Here is a 24,540-nt window from a genome sequence, read left to right as displayed (position 1 = left end):
GGACCCCCCCGCCCTCCCCACTTAATGTCTGACTTCGGCCCTTGCTTGGAGGTTCGGCGCAGCCTGTGAGGCTTTAAAGTTGAGCTTCCTCAGGAGCCCTTTGCGGGTGGGAGAGCGAGGCTGCCGGGAAGTGGGGGCTCTCAGCCTGCCCCATGCCCAGATGACCCTGGCACGGAACAGCTGAACAGCTGGTGGGAGGAGCCCTCCCTTTCCTGTCCAGAGGTGAGGGTCTCCCGGAGGGCAGGGCCAGCAGGCATAGGTTTGTGGCGAGTCAGCTTTTTGCATGTTGCATAGAAATCCCCAGAGCCGACTGAGAAGCAAGCAGGTGGGCCTGGCACATCTGAGTCCTCCCACGGTACCTATGGGGGGCCCACCTCTGTCCCGGGGGGTCTGGGAGGCCTGAGGTCTGGCCAGGGGTTCCTTGCCCCAGTAGAGGAGGGAAGTTACTGAGAAAAACAAGGGTTTGGAATGTGAGTCCCCCTCCCCCACCGGCTGCCTGCCAAGAAAGAATTATTTTGGATCATCCAGCCGTGTCCAGTCACCCGAAGCGGGAGGCTGCAGCGTGGGAGAAGGATCCACTTCCGGGACGTGGGTTGAGGGCCCCAGGAGGAGGACGGGCAAGTCCGGGCAGCTCTGCCACTTTCTACTGCAGCTGCCCAGACTGGGCGGGGAGAAGATGCGTCACCTTTGGGTTGGAGAAAGCCCCAAGGTTGGCCCCAGCAGGCCCTGCTGAGCCTGCAGTGGGCCCAAGCCCCTCTGGGGGAGACCATGGAACAGGAGGAGCTCTGGGCCCACCCAGGGACCCCCTCGCCCCACCCAGGGACCCCCTCGCCCCGAGAAGTCTCAATGGTGGTCTGAAGAGCCTCTGAGGTACCCTCCAGGCCCAAGTTCAGGGACACACCCTGTGCCAGTGACCTGTGCGTGCCAGGGAGGAGCAGGCAGGAGCGAGGCTAGGCTGCTAGGGAGGGCACTGGGGTTTCCCTCAGGGGGCCCTCCTGCCCCAACGGACTCCCTATTCAGCTCCTGACTAACGGACCAGCCTCCCTCCAAGCCCCTCCGACAGCCAGTCCTTGCCTACGACCCCCTCTGGATATGGCGCCTGTGAGCCCATCCTGCAGGTGGGGAGACTGAGGCCAGAGATAGGTCTATGTGAGGAGTCATCTGCGATGCTGTGTGGCCAGGGCTGTGGCTACCTGGCGCTCTGGGTCCATGCTGTGTGTGCGCCCGGGGTGTGTGCCCGGCGGCCTGCATGGGGACCACATCGGGGAGGAGGAGCCGGCAGCTGGCCCCAAGTGCAGAAAGCCCAGAGCCTTGGACCCGGCCCAGGGAAGTGGAGCAGAAGAGATTGGATTGGAAGGTGGTGGGGAGGGCCCATATGGCACAGTCCTCCTCCCATCCCAGGACGTCGTCCGTGCTCACCGTGTCCTGCCCCCTGCCTCACCCTGTGCCAGCCACAGCTGATGGTCCCCCTGGGACGCGGGCGTGGGCAGGGGTGCACTGGCTGGGAGAGGCTGTGTCTTCCGGCCCCTCATATTGTGCCTTCTCTGAGCTAGGCAGGCACTTGGATGCCAGGCCTCTGCCACGAGGGCTGCCTTCCCCTGAGCTGGGAGTTCTCACTCAGCTCATGCCTCCGTCCCTCTGGCTGCAGCCTGGCCGCCCTCCTTGGAAGTTGGCGGGGAACCTCTTGTGCCCAGAGCCTGCCTTGGACACGGTTTGGGGATGAGGTGGTGAGCTGCTCAGAATTCACCCAGTGGCCAGCAAGTGGCCCCCCAGCCTTGACCTCCCTTCTCTGAGGCAGATCCAGGTTCTCTGGGGGTGGGAGATTCAGTAGGGCTGGGACTGGCCACAGCCCCTCCCTCCCTCAGGGGTAGTGGCTGTTTGTGTTTGGGGTGGGGCTGTGGGTGGGGTGGGGCTGGGTCTCTGACTAATTACACGATGGGGAGGGTGGGTCAGAGCCTTGGCTGGTGGGGGGTGCTCAGGCTCTGGGGCCCCGGGGAGGCAGCTGCCCTAGCTTCCCTCTTTCTGGTCGAGGTTCCTCCACCTTCTTCCTTTCCGTGGTTTCACATCCCTTGACACAGGGCCTGCTTCTTCCCATACCCCTGGATTGTAAGGACCCCTGCCTTTCTCTGCCTACCAGGGAAGGACCCTGCACTGTTCTGGGCTCCCCCAGCCACAGGTGTGGCCTCAAGCCAGGCCCTGACACAGTGGCCCTCCTGGCTCAGAAGCCTTCTCTCTGAAGACCAAGCGTGTGAAGGGATTGGCTGGGCCCCTCCCGTCTGGCCCTGAACACTGGCACCCCGCACCCCCCCAGTGGATCCACCCTGCCCTGTGAGATTCATGAACCTGTGACAGTGACTGGCCCCAGGCCCAGTGGTGCCGGGGATGGTGGGACAGGCTGCCCCTGGTGGTACTGCAGGTTTGCCCCACCCCCGGGGATGTCTGTCTGGGGAGGAGCCTGGGGCTGGCCTGGCTGTGGAGCTGGGGGTTCTGTTTCGCACAGTCCCGCCTCTGCAGCCCAGATCCTGGAGCCCTTCACACCCAGAGGCCAGCCCACACCGTGGCCCGCTATGGTTGGTGGCCTTCCCTGGGGGTAGCCCCTAAGGCCACACCTGAGCTGCCTCATGTCCCAGGCTAGGTGAGGGAGGAGACTGCCCTGGGCTGGGATCAGGGCGCCTGGGGGCAGGTCCAGCTCTCTTCCTCAGCCCCCTAAGGTCTCCTGGCTTCTGAAAGCCAATAGTTCCTCATTCCAGTGCCAGCTGAGTCCCGGCCCAGGCCTGGGGCAGGAGAGGGAGGTGCTGCCCCAGTTCAGCCACCAGCTCTGCCAGCAGGGTCCCAGCAGCAGCAGCATCAGAGGCAGGGACTGGGCTCCTGGGGGTAGGGCCCCGGCCCCTCTGGCACAGCTGGTCAGCAGCTTCCATGGGGGGCCCTGTGTGGAGACACAGTGTCCAGCACCGATTTCTGGGCCTGATGCTGCCCCAGCTGAGTCCCGCAGCAAGCGCAAGAGAGAGAAGTGCTTGGTGTCCACCTCTGAGAAGGCCTCCTGTGTGAACACGGCCCCCTGAGGGGCCAGGCAAGGGCGTCTGCTCCTGTGGCTGGGACGGTTCCTGCCCACGAGCCTTGTGTAGGGCTGCGGCTCTCTTCCCAGGTGACCTTCTGTTGTGGTCTGGGGCCCCCGAGCCAGCATGCCACCTGCTCAGAGACAGATTGGGCCCCCTGTCAGATTGGCGTCTGGGGGCACTGTCTGCTCCTTCCAGGCAGCTTTGAGGACTTCTCAGAGGAGGAACCCCCCTGCCCTGCTGGTCCAAAGTGGGGTGCTGAAGGCCGAGGCAGTTTCCAGGGGGCTATGCCTCAGGCTGCGTGGGTGGCTGTGGTAGGAGCGTGCTCTGTGATTGTCACTGCATTTGCCTGGGGTCCATGCTCTGTCCTCAGCTGGGGTCTGGCTTTGAACCTAGGTGAGTTCTGGGGCTCTGAGGACAGGCCAGAAGCAGGAGTGTGGGGGGGTCTCTCCTGGGGGAAGCAAGGGAGGCCTGGGCCTGTGTGACTCAGACGTGGTAGGGTGGCATGGGAGCCACAGCTTGGGGGGATGGCGGGGGGCTTGAGGGTAATCCAAGTATTTCAGGGACCCAGCCATGGAGAGTGGGGTTTGAGGACCAGCAGGAGGTGAGGACTCTGTGGATCCCAGCCCTGTCAGGTGTGTTTTCAGAGCTGGGGCCTGCTTTGGAGGAGATGGAGGGCACAGAACACTGCTGAGCCCAGGCCCTGTGCCCAGCCTTGCTCCAGCCTTACCGGCTTGACACCAGGGCCTCCCTCCCACCAGCGAGGGGGAGAAGCTATTTTAAGTGGAGCCAGCAGTTGACAGGGGCAAGGGGCAGGTGGTGGGAGGGAGGTGCTCCAGCATGGCCCCCCCCACTCCCTCTCAGCCTCAGAGATTGGCCAGGGGAGCTGAGGGGCTTGGCCTCCCCACTCCTATGTTGGCACCGAGCCTGATCTGGTGACCACCCTGAGGGACTTCAGGAGAAAAGGATGTTAGGGAGGAGGGCGTGAAGGTGGGGCGCCCCAGGCAGGCCGCCCAGGCCCAGCAAAGCTCGCTGGAGGGTCCCCCAGTTCCACATCTAGACCTGGGGCCCAGTGGCTCTCGACCAGGCCCTGTGGGGTTTGAAGTCCTCAGCTCCACCATGAGCAGAGCAAGCCTCCGCGTGGAGCAAGGGGCTGGACCTGGCCTCCAGGGGCACCCACCTCCCCACACAGCTCCAGCCACGGGCATCACCTCCCACTCACTGTCCTGCCCCCACTCTGAGATGGGCATTTCCTCACTGGGAAATCCCTGTCCCTCTGGCCTCCCAAAGCCCTGAGTGTTTGCCCCTGTGGGGCCCAGCCCACACCCTGGGCTGCCTCACCCTTGGCCTGGACCCAGGTCCTGCCCAACACCCTGTGCCTCACCAGCCCCCAGCTCATCCTGGGCAGACGCAGCCCCTCTCCCCTGCTGAGACGGCCCTGCCCCCACCCCACTTCCCCATGCCACACATGGCCCCTCCCTCGGGGCTCCAGGCAGCGCTGGGTTCTGAGAGCCCCACTGCCCCTCTTAGCCCAAGTGCCCCGGCCTGAGGCTTCTCTCCCAGGCTCTTTGTACTGGGGACGAGTTCTGGGTGTTGGGGTGAGACCCTGTTGGCAGGGCTTTTCCGGCAGCACCCAGCCATGTGTGTCTGCACATGTGTGGTCATGTGTGCAAGTGGTGTCTGGCACACAGGCTTGGCGCGGTGCCCCAAGCTAATTGTGGGGTTCAGCGGTGATGGGCGAGGCGGGGCTGGGGTGACCGCTGAGGCGCTGACAGGCTGACGGGGAGATTACAGGCCTTGCTTACTGCTCACTGGCTGGGGCCTCACCCGTCCACCCCCCAACGCCCACCCCGGGGGTGAGAAGGGGGCTGTGGGCGGGGGCTGGTCTTGAGCCAGCTGCATCCAGGCAGGACCTGGTCTCTGAGCAGCCGGCTGCTGCGGGGTTGAGCTGGAAAGGGGGAGATGCGTGGGGGCCACTCAGAGGAGAGCCTGCAGGTGGGGCTGGGCACCGGCGGGCCGGGAGGCCTCCTTTCAGGAGAGACTCCAAGTGACTGAGCCCCAGAATCCCACGAGAGTCCCTCCGTGGCCGCCTGCTGTCTGACCGCATGTCCTGTCCTGATGAGTTGGTGGTTCCTGCTGTAGCCATCGGCCTCGTGTGCCCCGAGCGCCTGGCGGTGCCCACCCCTCCCACAGGAGGTCCTCAGGAAGCACGGAGACATCGGTAGGTTCATTGCGCTGCCCAGCTTTCTGACCCGAAGGACCACGGTGTAGCAAGAGGGGGCTGCAGCTGTGCCCAGGTTGGACAGGATGGGGTCTGGGACCCCGAAAGGGGTGGTTGAGGAGAGAGGTGGTTCTGCAGGCCTGGTGCGTGTGGGGACAGGGCGCCGTAGCCAACTGGATCCCACCTTCTGTCTGAGGGCTGGGGAGGACCATCCTCCAGATGCGCCAGTGGGCCGTGGCCAGAGAGGAGGCTGAGGAGGGCCTCACAACTGTGTGTAGGATGGGAGGGCAGCCTGGGGCCCCAGTCTAGGGACGCACCATATACAGGGGCTGCACTTGGTGCAGAGGCGGAGAGGGGGCTGGGGCAGGCCCCTTGGGCATGGCCAGGTGAGCTCAGGGGGTGCCTGAGGGCCAGGGCTAGATACAGAGGCCCTGGGTACCAGGTGGCCTGGGTGTGTCAGGAGGTGTGGACCAGTGGGGGCTGTGACTAACTCGGCTGGAGCAAGTGACAGGAGGAGCTGGGGCTTCATGGGGCACCCCCAGGATCCTGGGCTGGTGACCCCATCACTGCCACCAGCCAGGGTGACTTTTCCTGCTGGGACCCAGAGCCCAGACTGCAGGGGAGGCTGGCCCTAAGTAGGAACCCCACCCTGAAACCAGGCTGGCGGGGAAGGGGTGCGACGGCCTCCACCTGGGAGGGGTCCTCAGCCGAGAGTCCAGCGGGGACCGCTGTAGACGCTGAAGCGAGGCTCAGGCCTCCACATCAGTCTGTCCCTGGAGCCCCGCCCCGCCCCGCCCCGCCCCAGCTCCTAGGTCGGGTTGTGCCGGGAGCGTTCGGCCTTTGCCTCGGGTGAGTCTGGCCTTGACCCTGGGTCCGGAGTCCTGCGGGAGGCTGCTCCGGGCAGGGTCGTGCATGATTGGCAGCTGGGCCGGGAGGGGCCGAGCCCTGAGACCGACCGGGGGCACGGGCGGAGCCACCATCGGCGGGGCGGAGCTGCTCCCCGCGCCCCTTCCACGGCTCGGAGGACTTAGGTAATGGCCGGCTGTGCGATCCGATGTGCCCGACGCCAGGTGAGCGCCCCGCGGGGACGACGTCTCCTGCGCTCGTGTGACTGTCGCCGCCGCCGTCATTGTTACTCGGGTCAGACTCCCACCCGCCCGCGCGTCCTGGGCCCCCGGCCTGGTGAGGTTTGTCCCAGAGGCGGCCACGTGCTCCCTCCAGGTGCGCGAGGCCGAGGGGCGGACGGGGCGCCGGAGTCCCCGGGAGGGCGCGGGCGGTGGCCGTGGAGCTTGGGCTCGCGGGGGGCAGTGGGCGGCGCCGAGGAGGCGCGGGCCTAGTCCCTGCGCTTCCTGGCCCCGGGCGCGCTTTGCCCCTGGCTCCCGGGCAACCGTTCTGCGCCCTCCGGGGAGTCTGGCGGTGCCGGCGCCGGGGGAGGGGCTGTGCCACCTGGGTCGGCCTGCGAGGAATAGTCCAGGGCGCTCCACACAGGCCGGGTGCCCGCCTTTGGCTCTGGCCGGGTACCGGGCTCGCAGACCCACCCAGGAGACACCGCCCCCCGCCTCCCGGGCTGAACTCTGACCCGGGTCACCGGTGGGTGGGGCTGGGTGGCGGGGCCGCCGGTCTCGCCCTCGCCGGGTCTCCCGCGCGCTCTCCACCCAGTCCCTCCCCGCGCCTACCCACGGGCGCGGCGCTGCGGGAAGGGGCGGCCGGGGTCCTTGCCGACCCCCCAGCCCCACGCCCCGCGGCACCCCCCTCGCGCTTGTTTTGAAAACAGCGGAGGCTGGGATTCGCCGGCGCGTCTGTTTTGTTTCCTCTGATGTGTTTAGCGCTCTGGGATAATTGCAGATTTGCGTGTGTCGCTAGCTTTGGCCCGGCCCCCTGGCTGCTGGCTGCGGGGCCTCCGGGGCCTCCGTGGCTTTTCTGTGACGCCTGTCGCCCCGTTCCGGGACAGCCACTCTCAGACGCGCCTTGGCCTGTGCTTGGGGCAGCCTATCGCTCACTTGGTCCGAGGCTGCTTCCCCCGCCCCCGCACCGGGCCCCCCCCCCACCCCACGCAGGGCCTGTGTCCACCCCAATCCTTTGAGCCCTGGAGGGCCGCACAGCCCTAGGACCTCTGCCTTCTCCACCGCCCATGTCCTAGGTGCTCATGCCACCCCCTCCTGCCCTCCCAGGCCTAGGCCCGAGCTCTCCTCGTTCTTCATGGCGGCTGCTGCCTGGATCCCCATCTTGGCCCCTGCCGGGCCGCTGCCCATGCACCTCCTCTGGCCCCTGCCCTCTCTGGTTCCCGTGCCAGAGCCCACAGCCTGGCCTGGCCAAGAGCAGCCCCCAAGCTGGGCCTGCCCTCCCACTGGGCCTGACTGCTTTGTGCTGGTTTGATTTTAGCATTAAGAATGGTCAGTCTGGCTGGGTGTGGTGGCTCACGCCTGTAATTCCAGCACTTTGGGAGGCCAAGGCGGGTGGATTGCCTGAGCTCAGGAGTTCGAAACCGGTCTGGGCAACACGGTGAAGCCCCATCTCTACTGAAATACAGAAAATTAGCTGGGCATAGTGGCGTGCACCTGTAGTCCCAGCTACTGGAGAGGCTGAGGCAGGATAATTGCTTCAACCTGGGAGGCAGGGGTTGCAGTGAGCCAAGATCATGCCCCTACACTCCAGCCTGGGTGACAGAGTGAGACCTGTCTCAGAAAAAAGAAAAGAATGGCCCAGTCTGTTTGCTTGAAAATACTGAAAGGCAGAGAACTCCCAATTTTAGTCCCCACTGGAACCACCCCGCAGTGCAGCCAAGACTTGGGGCGGTCTCAGAACCAAGGCTGGCAGGAGTTTGGGGGCCTGGCAGCCCCCACTCTTGGCCTCATCTGGAGTAGGGCTCTGTCCTTCCCCCTTACATGCCTCTTGTTTACCTTTACCCAGTGGGAGGGGCGGGGGCCAGACTCAGCCCGTGCAAGGGGCCTGGGGGCTGCTGGTCAGAAAAAAAAAACAAAAGGGACCTCAGGAGAGGGCCACAGGTGCCCAGCCAGCAAGCAGCTCCTGCTGCCTCCCAGGCTGTCTAGGTTGTAGAGGGGAGGCCCAGCATCCCTGTGCTGCCCTTGGCCTACATCGGAGTTCTGGTTGGGGGAGGAGACCCTTCTGCTCTGTTGGCCTGGGGGTGACCTGCGGGGACAGGTCTTCTGGGCTCGCGCCCCTGCATGTCACCACCCCTTCCCGGCTCACTGAGTTTGGACCGGCAGGTGCCCAGTGACCAGATCCAGTGTTTGGACTTGTTGGGGCAGGGCGGCGGGGCAGCCGGGGCCTGTCGGGGAAGACCATAGACCACAGAGCAAGGCCAGTCCCTCAGGGGCTGGGTTAGGGAGGGTGTCTCGGGGTCTAAAGGATGGGCAGGGGCTTTCCAGGGAGCACAGTGAACATGGACGTGGGAATGTCGTGAGGCAGCGTTCTCTGAGTGGGCACAGCTGTAAAGATTTCCACACCCACTCAACCTCAAGGCAGCCCTCTGAGGTGGGCGCCATAATGACCCCCAGGTTACATATGGGGAAACTGAGGCACAGAGCAGCTTTCTGAATGGCCCACATGAGCCAGCTAGAACGTGACAGAGCTGGGGTGTGAACTCACTGGTCTGGCTCTGGACTTCAGGCCTCGAGGTCCCTGGGTGCAGCAGCGTCAGGTGTGACCACAGCCACCTAAGGAAGAAACTCCTTTTTCTGGGGTAGCTAAGCGGGAATCTTGTGAGCAGGAGATGGAGCCTGGCTCAGTGTTGAGGGCAAGATGGATGGAGGTGGGAGAAGCCAGAGGCCGGGCAGAGGAGGTAGACTTGGGCCAGGAAGGGCCCCAGACTGAGGGTGGAGGGATCATGGTGTTATTCTCTGGGAGGGGAAATCCATGGCCGTTCTCCACGGTGAGGGCCAGGGAAGAGGACGGCAGAAAGCCTCCTCCAGGAGAGTGGAGTATGGGTCTTGCCTCTGGCTTCCTGAGTGGATCGATCACTCAGGGGAGGTTGTTCGAGGGCGTGCGGGATGGGCGGGACAGAAGCCAGCCTCCCCTGACCTTGGCTGCCCCCGCCCACGCCTGGGGCCTGGGCCCGTGGAGGCTGGAGCCTGGGGGTGTGCTGCAGGGAGTGGGCATGGGGCACACAGGCCGGTGTGGCGTCCCTTCAAGATGGCAGGTCTGGGGGTACCGTGCCACCGCCATGGCTGCCACCTCCGTCGGGAGCTGCAGTCTCCAGTCCCCGCGGGTCCCAGCTTTCTCAGGAGACCCGGTGCTGCCCTGTGCTTTGGCTCCTGAGTTTGCCAGAGGAGCAGCCTTTTGCCCTTTTCACAAAGGTGCTGTTGAGTCTCAGGTCGAAAGGATGCCCTCTGCCCCCCGAAACCTCATCCTCTCCCCAGCCCTTTGGCCGGGTTAACCCTTACCTGTGCAGCAGGGTAGCACAGTCCATGCACAGCTGTGGAGCTCACCTCCCTTCCCGCCGCCCCCCTGCTGGTGTCACTGCATGTCCAACCCCGGGTCCCGCTGCACAGGGCACATGAGGATCCCGGTGGGGTGGGAGGAGAGTGGGGCCTGGCCCTGCGGGAGGAGGTGCTTTGCTGGCACACAACCTGGCCAGGCTGCAGTGGACTCTGGGGCCTGAGCAGGATTCAGTAGCTGAACCTTGGTTGTAGGGGTGGCTATTGAGGGCCTGGAGAGTCACATCTTGAGGCAGAGTGGAGCCTACCTTCTTTTCTTTCTTTCTTTTCTTTTCCTTTTTTTTTTTTTTTTTTTTTTTGAGACAGAGTCTTGCTCTTTCCCCAGGCTGGAGTGCAATGGTGTGATCTCAGCTCTCTGCAGCCTCAGGTGATCCGCCCGCCTCAGCCTCCCAAAGTGCTGGGATTACAGGCGTGAGCCACCGTGCCTGGCTCAGCTTCTTATTTAGACAAGCAATATGTAAATATAATCTTAAACTTGTGTTTTGCTTTAATCTTAGAGTCAGGGTCTCGCTCTGTTGCCCACAATCATAGTTCACTGCAGCCTAGACCTCCTGGGCTCAAGCTACTCTGCCTTAGCCTCCTCAGTACCCGGGACTTCAGGCTGTACCACCACACGCGGCCAGTTCACGGTCTAGTTCAAGTTCCTTGAACTTTTTTATTGTGTGTGTGTGTGTGTGTGTGTGTGTGTGTGTGTGTATTTTTTGAGACAGTCTCACTCTGGCCTGGGCTGGACTGCCGTGGCCTCCTCCTTGCTCCCAAAGTTCACCACTATTTTCTTTTCTTTTTTTGAGACGGAGTCTCACTCTGTTGCCCAGGCTGGAGTGCAGTGGCGCGATCTCGGCTCACTGCAACCTCCACCTCCCAGGTTCAAGCGATTATCTTGCCTCGGCCTCCTGAGTAGTTGGGATTACAGGCGCGCACCACTACGCCCGGCTAATTTTTGTACTTTTAGTAGAGATGGGGTTTCACCATGTTGGTCAGGCTGGTCTCGAACTCCTGACCTCGTGATCCGCCCACTTCAGCCTCCCAAAGTGCTGGGATTACAGGTGTGAGCCACCGCACCCAGCCTTAGCCGGCCACTATTTTGATTTTGGTTTGACGGCTTCTGGAGCCTCTCAGAGATGGATGGGGCCAAATACTGCACCCAGGCTTCCCCATCAGAATCAGCACAGACGCACCTGCATCTACCATGTAGTCTTCCACAGTATCCTCTGGTGGGATGCTGGGTGGCTGCCAAATTTTCACTAAAGCCAACCATGCGGAGAAGCACCCTGGGTCTGTGCCTCCCTGTGGGTATAGTCGGTGTTTATCCAGAACTAGAAGATACAATAGCAAGGGAAGATACAATAGCAAGCATTGCTGAATGCTACAGTGTAACACTCTGAGGCTTTTTGTGAATGAATTCATTTAGTCCTTGTAAACCTCTGGGGGTAGCTCACCATTCTGTCTCCATTCCACAGATGGAGAATGAGGCACAGAGAAGTTAAGTAACTTGCCCAACGTCACACAGCTAGTAAGTGAAATTTCAGGGTCATGGGTGTGCGTATTTTTCAGAAAGCAACTTTTTTTTTTTTTTTTTTTTTGAGACGAAGTCAGGCTGGAGTGTAGTGGTGCGATCTCCGCTCACTGCAAGTTCCATCGGCCGGGTTCATGCCATTCTCCTGCCTCAGCCTCCCGAGTAGCTGGGACTACAGCTGCCCGCCACCAGGCCCATCTAATTTTTTTGTATTTTTAGTAGAGACGGGGTTTCACTGTGTTCACCAGGATGGTCTTGATCTCCTGACCTCGTGATCCTCCCGCCTCGGCCTCCCAAAGTGCTGGGATTACAGGCGGGAGCCACCGCACCCGGCCTCAGAAAGCAACTTTTATTTTAAGCAAAGTAATAGCCATACCTAGTTTAAACAGGCAGAAAGCCCCTGACAGAGGGGAGTGCCAGGAGCCCTGGAGGTGTCTGAGGAAGGGGCTGTGCAGGGGCCAGAGGGAAGCCAAAGGCCAGATGGGGTCCTGTGGGATGTTTCTTCCCCCAAGCCCCACCAGCATGGGACAGAGGTGGGGGGCTCCACAGCAGACCGGGCTCCTCTTGTGACCGGCGTCTCTCCTTTGCCTCCTAGAGAATCTCGATGCTGGCCTGGAGCAGAAACTGAGCTGGACCACTGGAGCCTCGGTGAGGGGTCTGTACCCCACCTGGGAAAGGCAGTGGGTGGCTGGGGCTATGTGGACAGGGAGGCCGGAGGTATCTAGAACTGCCATGTGGTGTCTGCAAGGCTCTGTCCAGCCAGGTTTCAACCGTACCTGTCACTCTGCCACCCTTCCCATGGCCTGGCCTGGATGGAAGTGGGGAGCTTCCCTGCCCATGGAGCCGCTGTGAGGCTCCCATGGTTCTCTGAGGCCAAGCTGTTGCTCAGGCCAAGCTTTTGCTCAGGTGGAGTGGTCTGCAGTGAGACTGTGGCACCGGGTTCTGGGACATCAGGGCTGGGAATTGGAGCGTTGGGGGTGTGGTGGGGGGGTGCCTGTGCAGACGCTTTGTGGGCAGCAGCAGCTGGAGTTGCTGTGGCCTGGTCTGGATGGAAGTGGGGAGCTTCCCTGCCCAGCAGCAGCCGGAGTTGCTGTGGCCTCTTGAAAGTGCCCCTCCGAGCTTCAGCCAGGAGGAAGGCACCAGAGGGCCCGAGGAAATCCCCGCCAGCCCCGTAAGTGGGGGTCCCAGGAGGGCTTCAAAACAGGAAGTGCCTGCTGCCCGCCCTCCCTCCTGTTCCAGGAACACAGGCAGCAGGAAGCGTAGCTGGCTGTGCCTGGCGCCTCCTGCGCCGCCGGAGCTTTGCTGCTGGTCCGGTGGGTTGCCCTTTGCTCCTGGGCCTGGGCAGGCAGGTCACCTGAGGCCTTGTTTGTCCAGGAACCAGAAGGCAGCTGCCACCTGTAGGGTGTCACCCCAGCCGCGCCTGCCACCCTGAAAAGCCTGGGCCTGTAGGACCCTGGGAGTCAGGCTTTCCCTGGTGGCACACGGTGGTGTTTATTGAGCACTTAGGGTGTGCCAGCCCCCGGCAGGGACAGGAGAGCCTTCTTCCTGTACCGGGGCCCCTACAGCCCTGGCGGGTGGGTGAGTGTCTTCCCTGGGTGGAAGCTGGGGGACGGCTGAGGGGTGGCTTGTGGGGGCCCAGAGCCATTGCTTTTCCTGGGGCTAGGGGCGCCGCAGGGTTCCCCAGGCTGCCCCACCACGGTCCGGGCCAGATCCGAGGGGACCGTGGGCCCCGCCCCCGCGCTGCCCCCGCATTCCCCTCCCAGCTGCGGGCGCATTCCATTCATTCCCGGGAGCTGCGCCTGGCTGAGGCTGCCTCTGCCACTGCCACCGAGCTGGGCCGGGTGAGCGAGCTGGGCCGGGTGAGCGGGGCTGGGAGGGGAGGGCAGCAGGCCTGGGCGCAGGGCCGAGGGGCCTGGACGTTGCCTGCCCCCGCTGGCGCCACTGGGTGCACTTAGAAGGCGGGGGCCTGCGGGACCTGCCCCCGGGTGGCTGTGGGTAGGGGAGGGGCGCGGCGGGGGTTGGGGAGCCTTCGGGCAGGCGCTGCTCCTCCCTGGTAGGGCCATGGGCTGTGGCTGTAGCCTACGGGCCTCTCCTGGAGGCCTGGGACTCCTGTGCCCTCCTCTCCTCTCCCCTGGACAGGCCACTGAGCCACAGCGGGGGACCCTGGCTGAGCTGGGCATAGAACCCCCTCCACCAGGATCATGCCCAGAGGTTCCCGTGGGCTTGTAGAATCTTCCTGTCTCTCACTAAAGCCAGCATCTTTTCCTGGCTGATCACCCCTATCCTGGTGAAGCCTGGGGTCCCATGGCCCTACCCAGCCTCTCTGCCACCAGTCGGCCAGGAACTCCCTAGCCTGTGGGTGGTCACCTCTCCCAGCGGCTGCTGTGCTCGTGGGCACCTGGGGGGCTCCAGGGGTTGGGCAGCAGCTGAGCACTGAACCCCCAGTGCAGGGAGGGAGTTCTGTGCCGGGCAGGAGCTGCCTGTCTAATGGGTGCACTCCCAGGGAGCAGGAAGGCCAGTGCAGCGCTGTCTCACTCATGCGGGCCCTGGGGTGGCTCAGATGTTGTCGGTCGGTTGCGTCTTGGTTACACCTCAAGAGATTTCAGGAAGCGTGCGGGCAATCAGAACGGGGGGTTGCCACGGGCAGGTGGAGGGCGGCTGTGCCAGTAAATGCAGCTTCACCCAAAGCCGAGGCTCGGGAGAAACACTTCCCCTGGCTACGGAGCAGCAGAGCGGGCTCCCCTGCCCTCCTGGGAGGACAGAGGCCAGGGGGTTTGGGGGGTTGTCAAAAGGGTGGAGAAACACAGTGGTCAGAGGCCAAGCTGCTCCCACTGCATGTCAGAATCCCAGCCCCACCCATGCCCGCGGTGTGGCCTTGGGTAAATTCTGCTCCGTGCCTCAGTTTCTTCACCTGAGAAATGGGTCACAGGCTGTCGTGGTCAGCCTGGCCGTCAGAGACACAGGGATGTGGAAACATTTGCATTTTGTGGCTTGTTCTTTGTACACTTAAAACTTTTTTTTTTTTTTTTTTTTTTTGAGACAGAGTCTCGCTCTGTCACCCAGGCTGGAGTGCAGTGGTGCAATCTTGGCTCGCTGCAACCTCCGCCTCCCAGGTTCACGCGATTCTCCTGCCTCAGCCTCTGGAGTAGCTGAGACTACAGGCGGGTGCCAGCACGCTTGGCTAATTTTTTTGTGTTTTTAGTAGAGACGGGGTTTCACCATGTTGGCCAGGCTGGTCTCAAACTCCTGACCTCGTGATCCGCCCGCCTCGGCCTCCCAAGGTGCTGGGATTACAGGCGTGAGCCACCGGGCCTGGCAAAACTTTCAAATATGTGGTGAGAAAGCGGATTGCGTTTCGAGGGGATGAGACATATGCAGGGAGGTGACACTTGTGGTGGCCTGAGAGGATGTGGCAGTCCCTCTGGAGGCACGGGGTGGGCCTGCACAGGGAGGTGGGGGAGGCCAGGGCCTCCATCCCTCGTAACCCTCTGCCATCGAGTCTGGACCCCCTTGGCACCTGCCATGGCAGGGCTGCCCTGGACACCTGGGAGCCCCCCGTACTGGTGCACTCAGGGAAGATGATGGTGGGCCCAGGAGTGGGGGTGGTTGTGAGCATGAGGAGGGGGCACTGGCAGGGGAGGCTGATGTAGGGATCACTGGCCAGGATGGAGCAGGGTCCCTAGCGTGAGAGGGACGGACCACCCTGAGGAAGAGCTCAGAGGCAGAAGGGCCCTGTCTCTGCCACTTGTGTCTGAGCCCCCAAGATGCAGTTGAGTCTGGTAGGGAGGGAAAGAGAGAGGACCACGCATGTCCTGGGTCCACCTGTGGGGCCTTGGATCTTCCTCCTATTGGGAGACCCTCAGCTCAGCCTGGTCCTCAGCAGCTCACCCATCACACCACACATCCCCCTCATCCACCCGGACCCAGGCACAGACCCCACACCGAGACGTGCTCAGTTACACACACGCATGTGGACACAGCCTGTCCAGGCTGCAGATGTGGGGGCCTCTGCCTCTGAGACCTGGTGGATTTGGAGTTGCTCATGGCTCCCCAGGTCCCCTTGTTGCCTCCGCTGTGCGCACATCAGAGGCTGTGCCCTGGGCGTGACATGGGCCGAGCGAGGAGCTGTGGGTGATTGCTGGCTTCCACTGTTTCACCAGGGCAGGGGGCCTGGAGGTGGTCAGGGAGGCTCAGGCCGCCTGGGGGCTCTGGCGGGCAGTTGTAAACAGCATGTGCACTTGCTGGGCTATGCACAGGGCACCCCTCGCTCTCACCTGAGCCTCTGGTTTCCCGTGTCCTTCACCTCTGCCCCATGGGTGAGCCACCTGTTCCAACGTCCAGGGGTCTGTCTGTCAGCCTGAGCCTGTGCGCTGGGGCCGGTGCGTCCCGACCACCTGGAGCTCCTTGGGGTCACAGGTCAGGGGGCATGAATGTGAGCACTTGAGAGCCTTTCTGGGGGCGTCAACTCCTTGCCTCGGGGATAGGCCTGCCGGTGTTTTCAGCACCTCCGGGAGGGATCCTGTAGCAGGCGATGGCAGTGCCTTGGCCCCAGTGGTCAGTCAGGGTGGACTTGAGGAGGGCTGAGAAGTGGTCTCCGGCGAGACCTCGAGGATGGCGGGGGTGTGAAGCAGGAAGGGGCGGAGCTCCAGGTTCCTCAGTTCGTGGAGTGGCGTGACCCTCTCTCCCATGTTCTGACGTTTGGGGCAGGGACTGGAGAGGGATTTGATCGGGGGTCCTCTGGGTCGGGGCTCCCCTGACCCTTCTCTCTTCCCACAGGGTGCGGGGGGCAATGGCACTGCAGCTCTGGGCCCTGACCCTGCTGGGCCTGCTGGGCGCAGGTGCCAGCCTGAGGCCCCGCAAGCTGGACTTCTTCCGCAGCGAGAAAGAGCTGAACCACCTGGCTGTGGATGAGGCCTCAGGCGTGGTGTACCTGGGGGCGGTGAATGCCCTCTACCAGCTGGATGCGAAGCTGCAGCTGGAGCAGCAGGTGGCCACGGGCCCGGCCCTGGACAACAAGAAGTGCACGCCGCCCATCGAGGCCAGCCAGTGCCATGAGGCTGAGATGACTGACAATGTCAACCAGCTGCTGCTGCTCGACCCTCCCAGGAAGCGCCTGGTGGAGTGCGGCAGCCTCTTCAAGGGCATCTGCGCTCTGCGCGCCCTGAGCAACATCTCCCTCCGCCTGTTCTACGAGGACGGCAGCGGGGAGAAGTCTTTCGTGGCCAGCAATGATGAGGGCGTGGCCACAGTGGGGCTGGTGAGCTCCACGGGTCCTGGTGGTGACCGCGTGCTGTTTGTGGGCAAAGGCAATGGGCCACACGACAACGGCATCATCGTGAGCACTCGGCTGTTGGACCGGACTGACAGCAGGGAGGCCTTTGAAGCCTACACGGACCACGCCACCTACAAGGCCGGCTACCTGTCCACCAACACACAGCAGTTCGTGGCGGCCTTCGAGGACGGCCCCTACGTCTTCTTTGTCTTCAACCAGCAGGACAAGCACCCGGCCCGGAACCGCACGCTGCTGGCACGCATGTGCAGAGAAGACCCCAACTACTACTCCTACCTGGAGATGGACCTGCAGTGCCGGGACCCCGACATCCACGCCGCTGCCTTTGGCACCTGCCTGGCCGCCTCCGTGGCTGCGCCTGGCTCTGGCAGGGTGCTATATGCTGTCTTCAGCAGAGACAGCCGGAGCAGTGGGGGGCCCGGTGCGGGCCTCTGCCTGTTCCCGCTGGACAAGGTGCACGCCAAGATGGAGGCCAACCGCAACGCCTGTTACACAGGCACCCGGGAGGCCCGTGACATCTTCTACAAGCCCTTCCACGGCGATATCCAGTGCGGCGGCCACGCGCCGGTATGGGCCTCAGTGTGTTCTCGCAGGGCCCGGACTGCAGGCGTCCGTTCGTGGGTTTGCGTGTCCCAGCCTGCTGGGGAGGGTGCACGTGAGCAGTGTGGCCGTGGCTCTCGCCAGCCTGGGCGCTTGCGTGGGTGGGTGCCGCATCTCTCAATGCCATTCACGCTGGCGCCAGTCCCAGGCCTGTGTCGGGCACTGGGGAACACAACAGTGAGCACGGTGGGGCTCCCTGCCATGTGGGTTCTGTTCTCGGGGACGTGTGTAGGACGTGTGCCGGAGGGAAGGGAAGGGCCTGTCCCGAGTCTTGGAGCGCGAGTGGAGAGGGCCCTTCAGGACAGGGGGTCTGCCTGCCATTGACACGCTGTGGTCCGCAGGGCTCCAGCAAGAGCTTCCCATGTGGCTCGGAGCACCTGCCCTACCCGCTGGGCAGCCGCGACGGGCTCAGAGGCACAGCCGTGCTGCAGCGTGGAGGCCTGAACCTCACGGCCGTGACGGTCGCCGCCGAGAACAACCACACTGTTGCTTTTCTGGGCACCTCTGATGGCCGGATCCTCAAGGTTTGGCCCAGGCTGGGGCGGGGAGGCTCTGGAGGGCCCGTCTGTGCACAAGGCCCGTACCCTCACCGGCCTGCCCTCGCGCACACAGGTGTACCTCACCCCAGATGGCACCTCCTCAGAGTACGACTCTATCCTTGTGGAGATAAACAAGAGAGTCAAGCGCGACCTGGTACTGTCTGGAGACCTGGGCAGCCTGTACGCCATGACCCAGGACAAGGTGAGCCAGACGCAGCCCCGGAGAGCACTCTAGGCCAAGTGTGCCCGGTCATTGCATCCCAGGCCCTTAGGACAGGCCTGGGGGCCAGAGGAGGATGGGGTGCTGCAGAGCTGGGCCCTTCTCCTTGGTCTGGATGAGGGGTGGCTGGGTGGGTCCCGGGCAGTGCCTCCATCCTGTGTCTCTCTAGCACTGCCCCGTCTCTGCCGCTCCTTCTGTTTGTCCTTTGTGGTCTCAACCATGTCTCTCCCTCTGGCCCCGCCTCTGCCCTGTCCTGATGGAAGGGACCTGGGTTGGTGTCTGAGGCGTGTTGCTGAGGGTGGATGGGAAGACGGGGTCCCTGCACAGCCCATGTGAGCTCAGTCAGTGGAGAACATGGGCCTGGGCCCCAAGCTTGTGGGGGGTTAGTGCCAGAGACCCTCAGGCCAGCCCTAGGAGCACCCCTCGGAGGGAGCCAGTGTAGAGGACAGGAGCTGCCCCGGGAGACACCATAGCCAAGACCTCCAGGCTTCCCTGGGCTCCCATCGGGATCCTGGGCCAGGCATGGCCACCCAGAGCCAGAACTGTTTAATATCAAGCCTGAGGTGTCTGAGGCTCCCGAGGCCCCGGGACAGAGCTGGGTCAAGCTGGCGGTCTGGGGACATCTGGGGTCTGCGGAAGGCCCGTGCGGCCTCTGCTGTGGTCCCACTCACGGCCCCGCTGCCCTAGGTGTTCCGGCTGCCGGTGCAGGAGTGCCTGAGCTACCCGACCTGCACCCAGTGCCGCGACTCCCAGGACCCCTACTGCGGCTGGTGCGTCGTCGAGGGACGGTGAGTGCCTGGGGTGGCTCGGGGACACGGCCTGCCTCTGGGATCCCGGAAGGTCGTGGCCTGGGTCGGGGGGCACATCGCACTGTCCTGTCCCGGGAGAACAAGACTCCACCCTGGGCTGAGGCCGCCCCCTGCGCCTGCAGATGCACCCGGAAGGCCGAGTGTCCGCGGGCCGAGGAGGCCAGCCACTGGCTGTGGAGCCGAAGCAAGTCCTGCGTGGCCGTCACCAGCGCCCAGCCACAGAACATGAGCCGGCGGGCCCAGGGGGAGGTGCGTGGTGGGTCTGGGGTGGGGGTCCTGGGCCCCAGGCCGGGCCAGGTGGGGGCTCCCCCATGCTGGGAGCTGTTGGGACAGGCAGGGGAGGGCTCCACATCTCCCCCGCCTGGGCTCTGGGCACCGAGCCTTAGGGATGGAGCCCGCCCTCCATTGGTCCCCTGGACCCCTATGACCTGGGCGGGCAGGGGTGGGGCTTGTCCATATCCAGGGTGGACTCAGGCCCTGTCCCAGGAGTTGCTGGGGTGACCACAGAGAGGCCTGTATTGGAAGACGTGGAGTCGGGTTCTGGAGGCTCCACTGGGACGTGCGCCCACACACGCAGGGAGGTCGGGTCACCGGCAGGTGGGCTGACAGGACTCGGGGTTCCCAGTGTGAGCGGCACGGCCCCTCCCTCAGGTGCAGCTGACCGTCAGCCCCCTCCCTGCCCTGAGCGAGGAGGACGAGTTGCTGTGCCTTTTTGGGGAGTCGCCGCCACACCCCGCCCGCGTGGAGGGCGAGGCCGTCATCTGCAACTCCCCAAGCAGCATCCCCGTCACACCGCCAGGCCAGGGTGAGGCCCCTTCCCGAGCCCCCGGGTGGCCCTTCTCGGTCGCACGGGGCCCTGTGCACACGGGCTCTCGCCTCTGCTGGCCCCTGGGTGCAGGCTCTGCACAGGCACACTCCGCGGCTGCTCCGGGGGCCCAGCCTGAATGAAGCCTGTGGTGGGGTTGCTGTGCCTGTTGGGGAGGTTCTGGCTTCTTGGGCTGTCCGCAGCCACGCCCCCCAGGCCTGTAGCAAAGGTGACTTGTCTTCAGCCTGCTCCCTCATCACGTCCGGAGCGGCATGTGGGTGCCAGGCGCCAGGCCCCGTCGTCTCGGCAGACGCCCCTCACCCCTTCCTGCCATGTCCAGCTTCAGAGAGCAGGGCCGTTCCCAGAGGCTGCAGGGCCTCGCATGTGGGCCAGGGCAGGCGTCGCGCCCATGTCCCCTGAGTTTTGGGGGCAGTGGGGCCACGCAGTGACGTGGGCAGGGACCTGGCAGGTCCCACTCAGACTCCAAGGAGCCGCTGCCCTCAGTGCCTGCGGGAACAGAGGGTATGAAAGCAACCTGGACCCGGGGGAGAAAGGCAAGCCCGGTGCTGCGCCCGACACCCGAACCAAGATCTGATAGCAGGTGGCAGGTCCAGCCCAGCGTGAACGGGCGTCCTGGCAGCCCCACCCGAGATCTGATAGCAGGTGGCAGGCCCCGCCCAACATGAATGCGGGGCGTCCTGGCAGGGCCCCCTGAAGACCAGGGGTCTCCACCTTGGCCCCAGGAGTCAGCCCCAGGGGAGGCCCAGCCTGGCCCTCGGCCCTGCGGCCGCCACCTTGACACCTCCCCCTCTGCTGTCTGCAGACCACGTGGCCGTGACCATCCAGCTCCTCCTTAGACGAGGCAACATCTTCCTCACGTCCTACCAGTACCCCTTCTACGACTGCCGCCAGGCCATGAGCCTGGAGGAGAACCTGCCGTGAGTGTCTTGTGCCCATCGACCCCACCCTGCCCGTCCACCCCAGCCCTGCTCACGATCCCCTCTGGATGCAGGTGCATCTCCTGCGTGAGCAACCGCTGGACCTGCCAGTGGGACCTGCGCTACCACGAGTGCCGGGAGGCTTCGCCCAACCCTGAGGACGGCATCGTCCGTGCCCACATGGTGAGGGGCCTCGGGGCCTCAGGGGACTGTTCAGGGCATGGCTGCTCCGCTGTGCCCAGGCAGCACCTGACCAGCCTTACTCTCCCAGGAGGACAGCTGTCCCCAGTTCCTGGGACCCAGCCCCCTGGTGATCCCCATGAACCACGAGACAGATGTGAACTTCCAGGGCAAGAACCTGGACACCGTGAAGGTGCGGAGGGAGGGGTGCCGGCTGGTGACAGGCAGGCTCAGGTGCGGAGGGAGGGGTGCCGGCCGGTGACAGGCAGGCTCAGGTACGGAGGGAGGGGTGCCGGCCGGTGACAGGCAGGCTCAGGTGCGGAGGGAGGGGTGCCGGCTGTGACAGGCAGGCTCAGGTGCGGAGGGAGGGGTGCCGGCCGGTGACAGGCAGGCTCAGGTGCGGAGGGAGGGGTGCCGGCTGTGACAGGCAGGCTCAGGTGCGGAGGGAGGGGTGCCGGCCGGTGACAGGCAGGCTCAGGTGCGGAGGGAGGGGTGCCGGCCGGTGACAGGCAGGCTCAGGTACGGAGGGAGGGGGTGCCGGTTGGTGACAGGCAGGCTCAGGTGCGGAGGGAGGGGGTGCCGGCCGGTGACAGGCAGGCTCAGGTGCGGAGGGAGGGGTGCCGGCCGGTGACAGGCAGGCTCAGGTGCGGAGGGAGGGGTGCCGGCCGGTGACAGGCAGGCTCAGGTGCGGAGGGAGGGGGTGCCGGTTGGTGACAGGCAGGCTCAGGTGCGGAGGGAGGGGTGCCGGCCGGTGACAGGCAGGCTCAGGTGCGGAGGGAGGGGGTGCCGGTTGGTGACAGGCAGGCTAAGGTACGGAGGGAGGGGTGCCGGCCAGTGCTGATGGGTGTGTGGGAAGCCTGAGCTCCACCCGTGCCCCCCGACTCGGGGCCCCCACATGAGGTAGAGGGCACAGGATTTATCGGGGACAGAGGCCAGGAGGCAGCACTCGGGGGCCTTTGGATGGGCCTGAAGAGAGGCAGTGGAGGAGGCAGGCGTGTGGAGATTGAGGGGCCAGTGCCACCTCCTGAGGAGGGAGCTGTGGGGGCCACGATGTCAGGTGGGCCGGGCGATGTTCTCAGGTGTGGATGAGTGGTGGAGGTGGCCGTGGGAAACCCACAGAGGACGTTCAGAGGCTTCTGCAGACACAGGTGTTTGGGCTCAGGAGTGGCCGAGGGGTCAGCTGGCATGGTAATCTGAGGGGCGGGCATGTGTGGGGTGAGGAGAGGGCTCCCACACTGTAGGCACAGAGGAGGGGCTGCAGGGGTTCTGGGAGGAGGGCCAGGGTGCCACAGCCGCCTGTCCAGGGTCCTGACGGCATGGTCTGCAGGGTTCCTCCCTGCACGTGGGCAGTGACTTGCTCAAGTTCATGGAGCCGGTGACCATGCAGGAATCTGGGACCTTCGCCTTTCGGACCCCAAAGGTACGGCTCCAGGGCAGGCCGGCTCGGCTGCTGGACCCCAGGGCCCCGGGTGGGGTGGGGGGTCACCTTCAGGACTGTGAGGGGAGGGGCAGCAGGGAGACCCCAGGGACCAGAGCCCAGCCAGGGGCTCGCCATGCCCTGTGCTGCTGGGGAAGCCCCCTCTGCCCTCTGCCTCCCTGGGGACAGAGTGGCACAGAGCAGCGTCCATGGGGTTCCCGAACTTCCGACACCTGAAGGCCTCCCCTGCTGCCCTTGGCTGGGAAGGGACCCGGTGGCCACAGGGAGGCTGCCCTTGTGACCCCCGCCCCACGCCCCTCTGTGGGGGCAGGAAGTGCAGTGTGCCCCTGCGTGTCCCCCAGCTGTCCCACGATGCCAACGAGACGCTGCCCCTGCACCTCTACGTCAAGTCTTACGGCAAGAATATCGACAGCAAGCTCCATGGTGGGGGCCACGGGCGCAGTGGGGGGCGGGCAGGGGACGGGTGGGCACAAGGCGGTGGGTGGGGGGACAGGTGGGCGCAGTGGGGAGCAGGTCGGGGGCGGGCAGGCACGGGGTGACCACTGACGGCAGCTCTCCCCGCAGTGACCCTCTACAACTGCTCCTTTGGCCGCAGCGACTGCAGCCTGTGCCGGGCCGCTAACCCCGACTACAGGTGTGCGTGGTGCGGGGGCCAGAGCAGGTGCGTGTATGAGGCCCTGTGCAACACCACCTCCGAGTGCCCGCCGCCCGTCATCACCAGGGTGAGCCCCTCGAAGCCTGGCCTACACCTTCCCTCGTCCCTGGCATGAGCCCCTCCCTGCTCACCCGGCTCTGTGGTTTCAGATCCAGCCTGAGACGGGCCCCCTGGGTGGGGGCATCCGCATCACCATCCTGGGGTCCAATTTGGGCGTCCAAGCAGGGGACATCCAGAGGATCTCTGTGGCCGGCCGGAACTGCTCCTTTCAGCCGGAACGTTACTCCGTGTCCACCCGGTGAGTGGACGGCCCTGGTCTGGGCCCTGTCAGCTGGGTCAGTACCCACGCTGGGGTTCCGGGTGACTGGGTGGGTGGGGAGGCTGAGGGGGTGAGGGTGTCAGGGTGTGGGGTGGGTCGGGGAGTGCCTGGGCCACACTGCCTGTCGCCCGCCAGGATCGTGTGTGTGATCGAGGCTGCGGAGACGCCTTTCACGGGGGGTGTCGAGGTGGACGTCTTCGGGAAACTGGGCCGTTCGCCTCCCAATGTCCAGTTCACCTTCCAAGTAAGCACCCGGCCTCGGGGACCTGCCGAACCCGGGAGGACCGGGAGGAGGGGCTCTGCCCGCCGCCTCCCCACGACAGTTACCATCCAGCCCAGGACCGAGGGCGTCCTGTGCCCCGTCCTCACCCGAGTGCCCCTGCGGCTCTTTCAGCAGCCCAAGCCTCTCAGTGTGGAGCCGCAGCAGGGACCGCAGGCGGGCGGCACCACACTGACCATCCACGGCACCCACCTGGACACGGGCTCCCAGGAGGACGTGCGGGTGACCCTCAACGGCGTCCCGTGTAAAGTGTGGGTGTCACCGCCAGCTGCTGAGTCTGGTTGGCCCTGGCCCTGGGTATGGAGGGGGGCACTTACTGAGACCTGAGTGGCCCTGAGGGGATGGCGGGGCCAGCCTGGTCGGGCTGGGGCTGGTCCCGGGGGAGGGGTTGATGCAGACCAGCACCCTCCCTCCCCCAGGACGAAGTTTGGGGCGCAGCTCCAGTGTGTCACTGGCCCCCAGGCGACACGGGGCCAGATGCTTCTGGAGGTCTCCTACGGGGGGTCCCCCGTGCCCAACCCCGGCATCTTCTTCACCTACCGCGAAAACCCCGTACTGCGAGCCTTCGAGCCGCTACGAAGCTTTGCCAGGTGAGGCTGGTGTCCCCCCGCCCCCCTCTGCTCCCCACACCCAGCTGCCTCCTCAGTGCCCTTGGCTGACTGTGCTGAAAGGAATGTGGTGGGGCTGGTCTGTGCAGCGGGAGGCGGCCTCCGGAAAACCCCACTGCACTCCAGATCCACTTCCTCCTAGAAACCCAGATGGGCACACCAGAGGCTCCACGCTCACCAGGCCCCGTGTGCCCCCCGCCCACTTGCGGCACAGTCTCGTGCTCAGCACGTCCCACCGCGTTGCCCCTTTGCCCACCGAGACCCACACATGCACCTGGAAGCCCCGTGTGGTCAGGGCCAGGGTGGGCGGGGACGGGAGGGCGGAGGCTGCAGGGACCACCCCTGCCAGCCGAGCCCACGAAGGCACTGCCCTCCGCAGTGGTGGCCGCAGCATCAACGTCACGGGTCAGGGCTTCAGCCTGATCCAGAGGTTTGCCATGGTGGTCATCGCGGAGCCCCTGCAGTCCTGGCAGCCGCCGCGGGAGGCTGAATCCCTGCAGCCCATGACGGTCAGTCCTGGCGTGGGCTCAGCTCTGGCACCGGCCCATGGGATCGTGCCCAGGAAGGGCGGGGTCTGCGCCCGGGGGCTGACAGCTGGGACTTGCCTGC

General features: G+C 64.6%; 1 protein-coding gene across 31 annotated transcripts in view, besides 8 other annotated features; it reads left to right on the top strand.

Moving 5' to 3' along the window:
- The window catches only part of PLXNB2 (plexin B2), a 32,668-nt gene that overhangs the window by 1,023 nt on the left and 7,105 nt on the right, over positions 1-24,540 (top strand). For 2 of the 31 annotated variants that reach the window (NM_001376883.1, NM_001376870.1), the window contains exons 1-19: positions 6,289-6,347; positions 11,846-11,905; positions 16,027-17,107; positions 17,482-17,664; positions 17,753-17,881; positions 18,587-18,687; positions 18,831-18,957; positions 19,360-19,513; positions 20,337-20,451; positions 20,526-20,634; positions 20,723-20,824; positions 21,959-22,051; positions 22,411-22,492; positions 22,634-22,791; positions 22,874-23,022; positions 23,179-23,287; positions 23,438-23,574; positions 23,743-23,913; positions 24,311-24,440. In NM_001376883.1, the coding sequence (NP_001363812.1) occupies positions 16,040-17,107; positions 17,482-17,664; positions 17,753-17,881; positions 18,587-18,687; positions 18,831-18,957; positions 19,360-19,513; positions 20,337-20,451; positions 20,526-20,634; positions 20,723-20,824; positions 21,959-22,051; positions 22,411-22,492; positions 22,634-22,791; positions 22,874-23,022; positions 23,179-23,287; positions 23,438-23,574; positions 23,743-23,913; positions 24,311-24,440 (3,117 nt within the window). In that variant the 5' untranslated portion in view covers positions 6,289-6,347; positions 11,846-11,905; positions 16,027-16,039. Of the gene's footprint in view, positions 1-2,802; positions 3,146-4,954; positions 5,278-6,112; positions 6,127-6,288; positions 6,499-10,059; positions 10,192-11,194; positions 11,248-11,845; positions 11,906-12,629; positions 12,829-13,028; positions 13,092-16,026; positions 17,108-17,481; positions 17,665-17,752; positions 17,882-18,586; positions 18,688-18,830; positions 18,958-19,359; positions 19,514-20,336; positions 20,452-20,525; positions 20,635-20,722; positions 20,825-21,710; positions 21,780-21,958; positions 22,052-22,410; positions 22,493-22,633; positions 22,792-22,873; positions 23,023-23,178; positions 23,288-23,437; positions 23,621-23,742; positions 23,914-24,073; positions 24,441-24,540 lie in introns of those variants that run through there. The other 29 variants (NM_001376885.1, NM_001376866.1, NM_001376884.1 and 26 more) reach the window with 27 other exon arrangements.
- Positions 125-1,324: an enhancer, noted in NCBI's record as "P300/CBP strongly-dependent group 1 enhancer chr22:50743729-50744928 (GRCh37/hg19 assembly coordinates)". NCBI's record gives its function as "activates an origin of replication core promoter dependent on BRD2, BRD4, P300/CBP, MED14 and CDK7 cofactors, with strong dependence on P300/CBP, by STARR-seq in HCT116 cells {active_cell/tissue: HCT116}" and the evidence as "EXISTENCE:reporter gene assay evidence [ECO:0000049][PMID:35650434]".
- Positions 366-735: an enhancer, noted in NCBI's record as "active region_19313". NCBI's record gives its function as "activates an Ori minimal core promoter by ATAC-STARR-seq in GM12878 lymphoblastoid cells {active_cell/tissue: GM12878}" and the evidence as "EXISTENCE:reporter gene assay evidence [ECO:0000049][PMID:35858748]".
- Positions 4,884-4,933: a silencer, noted in NCBI's record as "silent region_13970". NCBI's record gives its function as "represses an Ori minimal core promoter by ATAC-STARR-seq in GM12878 lymphoblastoid cells {active_cell/tissue: GM12878}" and the evidence as "EXISTENCE:reporter gene assay evidence [ECO:0000049][PMID:35858748]".
- Positions 5,071-5,627: an enhancer, noted in NCBI's record as "H3K4me1 hESC enhancer chr22:50739426-50739982 (GRCh37/hg19 assembly coordinates)". NCBI's record gives its function as "activates a minimal SCP1, AML or CMV promoter by ChIP-STARR-seq in naive H9 embryonic stem cells {active_cell/tissue: H9 hESC(naive)}" and the evidence as "EXISTENCE:reporter gene assay evidence [ECO:0000049][PMID:30033119]".
- Positions 5,628-6,184: an enhancer, noted in NCBI's record as "H3K27ac-H3K4me1 hESC enhancer chr22:50738869-50739425 (GRCh37/hg19 assembly coordinates)". NCBI's record gives its function as "activates a minimal SCP1, AML or CMV promoter by ChIP-STARR-seq in naive H9 embryonic stem cells {active_cell/tissue: H9 hESC(naive)}" and the evidence as "EXISTENCE:reporter gene assay evidence [ECO:0000049][PMID:30033119]".
- Positions 13,902-13,951: an enhancer, noted in NCBI's record as "active region_19312". NCBI's record gives its function as "activates an Ori minimal core promoter by ATAC-STARR-seq in GM12878 lymphoblastoid cells {active_cell/tissue: GM12878}" and the evidence as "EXISTENCE:reporter gene assay evidence [ECO:0000049][PMID:35858748]".
- Positions 14,072-14,131: a silencer, noted in NCBI's record as "silent region_13969". NCBI's record gives its function as "represses an Ori minimal core promoter by ATAC-STARR-seq in GM12878 lymphoblastoid cells {active_cell/tissue: GM12878}" and the evidence as "EXISTENCE:reporter gene assay evidence [ECO:0000049][PMID:35858748]".
- Positions 23,308-24,507: an enhancer, noted in NCBI's record as "MED14-independent group 3 enhancer chr22:50720546-50721745 (GRCh37/hg19 assembly coordinates)". NCBI's record gives its function as "activates an origin of replication core promoter dependent on BRD2, BRD4, P300/CBP and CDK7 cofactors, and independent of MED14, by STARR-seq in HCT116 cells {active_cell/tissue: HCT116}" and the evidence as "EXISTENCE:reporter gene assay evidence [ECO:0000049][PMID:35650434]".

Source organism: Homo sapiens, chromosome 22 (assembly GCF_000001405.40).
Source record: "Homo sapiens chromosome 22, GRCh38.p14 Primary Assembly".
Classification (NCBI taxonomy): Eukaryota; Metazoa; Chordata; class Mammalia; order Primates; family Hominidae; genus Homo; species Homo sapiens.
This window is presented reverse-complemented; position numbering and strand designations above follow the sequence as displayed.